This window comes from Homo sapiens, chromosome 3 (genome assembly GCF_000001405.40).
Source record: "Homo sapiens chromosome 3, GRCh38.p14 Primary Assembly".
Taxonomy (NCBI): Eukaryota; Metazoa; Chordata; class Mammalia; order Primates; family Hominidae; genus Homo; species Homo sapiens.
Genome location: NC_000003.12, coordinates 69,723,219 through 69,730,158, shown reverse-complemented (window position 1 = coordinate 69,730,158; position 6,940 = coordinate 69,723,219). Strand labels below are relative to the sequence as shown.

At 37.7% G+C, this 6,940-nt stretch overlaps 3 annotated features.

Annotated features, from left to right (window-relative positions):
- Window positions 4,569-5,431: a transcriptional cis regulatory region, noted in NCBI's record as "candidate enhancer chr3.2746 targeted for multiplex CRISPR interference". NCBI's record gives its function as "positively regulates MITF gene expression with high confidence in K562 cells {active_cell/tissue: K562}" and the evidence as "EXISTENCE:mutant phenotype evidence [ECO:0000015][PMID:30612741]".
- Window positions 5,196-5,340: an enhancer, noted in NCBI's record as "145 bp enhancer 231 fragment used in the MPRA reporter construct; PK_construct_3703". NCBI's record gives its function as "activates an SV40 promoter by MPRA in K562 cells {active_cell/tissue: K562}" and the evidence as "EXISTENCE:reporter gene assay evidence [ECO:0000049][PMID:23512712]".
- Window positions 5,263-5,273: a transcriptional cis regulatory region, noted in NCBI's record as "NFE2L2 motif; MPRA enhancer 231 activity is reduced when this motif is scrambled". NCBI's record gives its function as "necessary for full MPRA enhancer 231 activity {active_cell/tissue: K562}" and the evidence as "EXISTENCE:site-directed mutagenesis evidence [ECO:0005528][PMID:23512712]".

Genomic DNA, 6,940 nt, shown 5'->3' with positions numbered 1-6,940 from the left:
TCCTTTTCTGCCTCAGAAGGGCCCTGGCTCCACCATTTATTGGCTGTATGACCTTGGGCAAGATATCTAACTCACCCTACTTCTCAATTTTTTTATTTGTGAAAACAGGTTAATAGAACCACATTAGTTGTTGTGAGTACTAAATAAAGATATAAATATAATTGTCTGGAACATATAAGAACTATTGGCTAATTTTATATTATTATTAGAGAAATGAATCCTTTCTTTTTCTCATGTCATTTTTCTTTTAGTTTATTATTTTGAAATGAACTTTCCTTGAAAATTATGAAATATATCACACTTAAGGAAAAGTGCATAAAACATAAATGTATTCTTTTACAAATAATGATCCTTGCCCACTTACAACTTCCTTCCTCCAAGAGATAACCACTTTTAAGCTAATCATTCCTTTTTTTGCTTTTAAGTTTTGACACTTAAATATGCCTCCCTAAGCAATATAGTTCATTTTTCCCTATTTTTAGATTTTTTTCTATAAATGAAATTGTGGTAGTCAGTTTCCACAATGGCGCCGATGATCCTGGCCTACTACTGGCATTTTTCCACGTTGAATCAGGGCTGTTTTGTGCGACCAACTTCAAAGGCTAGGTCATAAAAGGTTATTGAGGTTTCTGTCTACTTCTTTCCATGTGTTTACTCTGGGAAGGACCAGTAGAAAGCTCAAGCGGTCCTGTGAAGAGGCCCATGTGGATAGGAACTGAGCCCTCCCACCAACATCCTGCACCATCTTGCCAGCCTTGTGACTGAGTGACCATAGAAGACGATCCTCCAGCCCTAGTCAGGCCTTCAGATGTCTGCAGCCCAGATGACATTTGGCTGTAGGCTCATGAGCAACCCTGAGCCAGATTTGCTTCAAGCCACTCCCAAATATCTGACCTACAGAAACCATGAATAATAAATGATTTTTGTTGCATTAAGCCAAGAAACTTTAGAATAATTTGTTATGCAGCAATAGATAACTAACCAGGAGTTATACTGTATAAATTCTTTTGTATCTTTATTCTTTTACTCAACTTTCTTTAAAAAGATTCACCCATGAAACCATATGTAGCTTAGTTTATTTACTTTCATTACCATACAGCATCCCCTTGTATGGATGTGTTTTGGCTTAATTTTCATAATCATTTCTGTATGCAGAGGAAATTCTTAACCTGTAGGGCTGGAAAAGCAGTACTTTTTAATTTGTGGGGCAGATCTATGCAGATGTGGGAGGGAGAGAGGGATAAATGGCTTTGGATCACTTTTGAGGCCAAATATGCCATCAGTATTTTAGTAATCTAAATATCTTGAATCACCAAAACAATAATGTTTTGGAATGATGCTTACCTCTTTCCACTGCCAACTTAGTTGGCATTCTGAGTGACAGCCTCAGTAGTCCTTACATATGGTCCCAAATAGTCACCGGGCTTCACTCTCTCTCAAATAGAAATCAGAAGAGGGTTTGGGGTGGAGATATACACTCTCTTCTGGGATATATTTTCCTGTGACTGATTAAATCAAAGCGAACATACTGAATGCCACAGACTTAGAAAGCCATGTTTTCTTCTCATTTAAGCTGTTCAGTAAAGCAAGAGTTCTGAGGAACAATCCACAATCAACTGGACAGCTCAGCTTTTTGCATTCTATGCCTCTTTTGGTAACACATAGATTAACTAAGAAATTGGGACTGCAAATCAGTTACCTGGTGAAAACTTATTAAGAATAAGAATTCCATTTCTAGGAAACTACACTGTAGAAATACTCTCACAAAGGTACAAAAATGTATGTACAAGAATTTCCATTGCAATATTTTTCATAATATTGAAAAACTGGATCCATGGCATGAGGACTATAGATAGATTATGATGCATCCTTACAACTGAATTCCATGCAAGTGCTTAAGAAGGAACGAGACTGAGTTCTATGAGCTGACATAGAAAGATGTCCAAAATAAATTTTACATGAAATAAAAAAGCATGTTACAAAGCAATATATGTCAATTCTATTTTCATTTAAGAAACAAACAAGCTGGGCACAGTGGTTCATACCTGTAATCCTAGCATTTTGGGAGGCTGAGGTGGGCAGATTGCTTGAGTTCAGGAGTTCGAGACCAGCCCGGGCAACATGGCAAAACTCTGTCTCTACAAAAAATACAAAAACTAGACAGGCGTGGTGGCATGTGTCTGTAGTCCCAGCTACTCTGGAGGTCGAGGTGGGAGGATCACTTGAACCCAGGAAGTCGAGGCTGCACTGAGGCTTAAACATGCTACTGCACTGCATTCCAGCCTGGATGACAGAGCAAGACCCTGTTTAAAAACAAAAACAAAAATCAAAAAACTTGTGTGTGCAATGGTGTATATGGATTAAACCATTAAGAGCTACTATTGGGGCTGAGGAGGAATTATAAAGAAATTTCACTTTCAAAGTTGTACTTTTTTGTAATGTTTGATTTTTTTACAATGCATGCATGTGGCTTTTGAAAGCGGGGGCAGGGGAGGAACGGCAATTTTTTAATATGTCGTTTAGGTCAGTAATAAAAATGGCAATGATTACGGTGAGAAGAAGTGATCAACTATAGACTTAAACCTCAGGATTCTCTTTAGTGCTTGCTATAGGATCTTCTTTTAACTACTAAATTATTTCTACCACCAGTCAAAGAGCCATAAAAACCAGACAGCATAAAAAGGCTGGACAACAGGTGTATATTTATCTCCAAACTCATCAGATTGTATGCATTAAGTATATATAGCTTTTTATGTGTCAATCATATCTCAATAGTTTTATTTTAAAAGGCTGAGCAATTAGTGCCTAGGGCACCTGTTTACTGTACCACTCTTTATTACCATCTATTTTTCAGTTTCACAAATAAAACATGTTAATTTTAGAAGTACTAGAAAATACTACAATAAACAAGAAGAAAAAATTATTTATAATTGACCCACCAGAAAGAAATGACTTTAGTATTTTTTGGACAGTTGTCCAAATTTATTCTTAATGTAACTATACATACACACACACACGTATATATACACACACACATATATAGATACACACGCGCACACATACACGAACTGTTCTTTTCAAAGTAAGAGTCAATACTATATGCATTGTTTTGTAACCTGTTTTTCTTCAGATAATATATTTTGAACAGATTTTTATATTAAAAATATTTAATGATCATGCCTACAGAGTATTTCGTTACATCAAGAGCATATGAAGGGACTTCAGAAAGTCCACAGAAAATATGTATTATGAAAAAAATGCGTGGATTTCAAAGTTATTTTGCACCAAAATAAACTCGTACTAACTTGTCATAGCATATCTGAATGGGATCTAGTTTGAGGCACTAAGAAAGATAAGACAGTTGGAAAAGAGTTCCTATCACAGCAAGATGAATTCTGCTAAAACTGAAGCAAGAACAAACATCAAATTTATGGTAAACTTTGGGTGAAAGAATGATGAAATCACTGATGCTTTATGAAAAGTTATGGGAACAACACCCCAAAGAAATCAGCAGTTTACAAATAGATAACTCATTATCAGAGGAGAAGAGACAATGCTGAAGATGAAGCCTGCAGCAGCAGACCATCCACATCAATTTTCAAGGAAAAAAATTAATCTTGTTCATGCCCTAATTTAAGAGAACTGACGATTACCAGCAGAAGCAACAGAAAACCACAGACATCTCAATTGGTTCAGCATACACTATTCTGACTAAAAAATTAAAGTTGAGCAAGCTTTCCATTTGATTGGTGCCCAAACCATTGTACCCAGATGAGTACCACTATGATCCTGGAGACAAAGCACAATCAACGCAATGACTACCAAGAGGTGGAAGTGGTACAGTCAAAGCAAAGGCAGATTACTCAAGAGCAAAGGTCATGGCAACAGTGTTTTGGGGTGTTTGAGGCATCGTACTTGTTGACTTTCTAGAGGGCAAAAGAGCTATTGTTCTTTGAGAGTGTTTTGAGAAAGTTTTGTGAAAGCTTTAGAAGAAAAACACTCAGGAAAATTTCACCAGAGTGTCCACCATGACAGTGCTCCTGCTCATTTCTCTCATCAAACAAGGGCAATTTTGCAAGTGTTTCAAAGGGAAAATATGAAGCAGCCACCTTACAGTCCTGATTTGGCTCTTTCCTCCTTGACTTATTTTTGTTTCCTGATCTTTAAAAAAAAATCTGTAAATGGCACCTATTTTTCTTCAGTTAATAATGTAAAAAAGACTGTATTGACATGAATAAATTCCCAAGACCCCCAGTTCTTTAGTGATGGGCTAAATGGCTGATATCATTGTTAATGAAAGTGTCTTGATCTTAATGGAGGTTGTGTTGGAAAATAAAGTTTGTATTTCTTATTTTTATATTTTAATTCCATTTTTCATTAACTTTTTGAAGTCCCCTTATATAAAATGATTATGAACCACTCCTGGATTTATAGGTAAAGTTAGTACTTTTGCAAATATTCAAAACATTTATGAAAACTTTAATGCAAAATACATGTGGATTTTTCTAGAAAGGGAGCTCCTATCTCCTTGGATTCTTCTAGGGTTCTATAATCAGAGGAAAAAAGAGTTGAGTCACTGGATGATATGGTTGTGGAAGACACAGGATGATTTATCTAACCAATCCCTCTTGATCATCTTGCTTGTTTCCAATTTTCACCACTATAAACAGTGCTATAAGTAAATTTAGGAGTTTTCAATTTTGCTATTTAGAAAACATGAAAGGCACAAAGCACTGAGATATCATTGAGTCTCCACATGTTTAAAAATAGACAAATGTGCTGCAACTCAGAAGGCATTCCTTTAGAGGCATCAGAGAAGAGATTAGAAACCCTCAGGCACTTATACCCCACTAGCACAATTCAACAAAGCCTGTCAGACTGCCAAAGTCAAGATGTTGATAAGCAGAAGAAATGCAGAAAAATTGAGAAAATTATGAGGATATTCTCATAATTGAGAATATTGAAAGTAAGAGAGAAAGATGGGAACAGGCAGAGAAAGGAGGAAATTAGTGCACTGAACACCAGTTTTTGATTGGTTCAGCTTTTATTTCTTCTTCCCTTCTTCTCCCAAGAGCACCTCCCTTTGCCTGTGGGGAACTGCCCAGCCCCCATCCCAGGTGGTATTGGTAAGTCTGTCCATCAATATTACCCAACTCCTTCTGGTCAGAGTAGTAAGCTGCTGACTTAAGCTAGACCGATAAACCTTGCTATCTCAGCGAACTGGACCTCCCACTAAGAAACCCTGGGAGAAAAGGCTGTTGGAGCTGAGTCATCCAAGAGCAGCACCCTACCAAATTGACCTGAGAGTTCCTGCTACAGAGACCCTCCAAGGACCCCTAGTTCCTACCCTTCCCCAGACATGATTGTTCAACTATTCCTTCTGAACTATTCCTTCTGAACTCAATATTCTTCAAATTAATTCCTTCTTCTTATGTAAGTTAATAAGAGTCAGCAACTGCAGTTTGAACAACAACAACCAAAATACGAATACAGTTAGAATTGGACCCACAGGTGCAGTTAAAACATAAGGCCTACTCCCTGATTTTTCCTTGTTCTTAAAAATAAAAACACAAGCACAGACGCTAGTATTACCAAAAAATTTCACTCAGGTCTCACAACTGTTTGTCATAAAGGAGGGACCAGACACAAACATCTCCTTACTAGAATAGAGAATTCATGAGGGCAGAGACTCTGTCTTGGTTAGCAGTAAATACCTCCTCCCTAAAGCAGCAAGGAGCACACAATAGGTGTTCAATAAATGGTTGTTGTTAATGTTTTATTGTTGTTGTTATTGTTTCCTGACTTAAAAGCAAGAAGAAATATTCAAGATATACTGCCAAATTAAAAAGCAAGTTGAAAAATACTTTGTACTATATGGTCCTATTTTTGTAATTTTTGTGATTTGAAAATGAATATGACTGGAATGTGAAAATGTACAGTAATATTTATAATTTCATTACATAAAAAATTATCTGGAATTATATTGCCCATTCCATCTGTTAAGAGTACATATTGGCCCGGCACGGTGGCTCACGCCTGTAATCCCAGCACTTTGGGAGGCCAAGGCGGGAGGATCACGAGGTCAGGAGATCGAGACTATCCTGGCTAACATGGTGAAACCCCGTCTCTACTAAAAGTATAAAAAATTAGCTGGGCGTGGTGGCGGGAGCCTGTAGTCTCAGCTACTCGGGAGGCTGAGGCAGGAGAATGGCGTGAACCCAGGAGGCGGAGCTTGCAGTGAGCTGAGATCGAGTCACTGCGCTCCAGCCTGGGCGACAGTGCAAGACTGTCTCAAAAAAAAAAACAAAAAACAAAAAAAAGAGTAGGCTGGCAGGAAAAGAGAAATTGGCAATTTTTTAATACTTCAGTGTTACTAAATTTTTTGCAGTTCAGATATATCATTTCTGCAATTAGAAATGATTTTTTAAATTAAGGAAAAGGAAGGAGGGAAAAGAGAGAAAAAAGAATGAAAAAGGGAAGAAGTTAAAAAGAAAGAGAAAGAAAGGGAAGAGGAGACAGAAGGACAATGCCACTCTCTGGTGGCACTCTGCCATGGATTCTTTATCACAGTGACCATCAGGCCTGTTCAGCAATATTTCCTTTCAGGCACATGGTAAAACAGAACTTCCCACACCTTTAAGGTAGGCCTGGCTATGCGTCTTGCTTTGACCAAGGAATATGAATGGCATGTGAAAATGCGAATGTGCAATGCATGTCACATCCAGGCAGAAGCCTTCAAGAGCCAACGTGCGATCCATCACATTCTCCTCCCTCATCCACCACAATCACTGATGCTGGAAACTCCTTACAGCCTGGGTCCCTGAGTAAGGATGACATGGAACAGAGCCCCCTCCCCCATCAAACCATGTTGAACATGGAGCATACACAAGAAATAAACCTTTATTTTAAGCCACTGATTAAGAGATTTCATTTTTACATA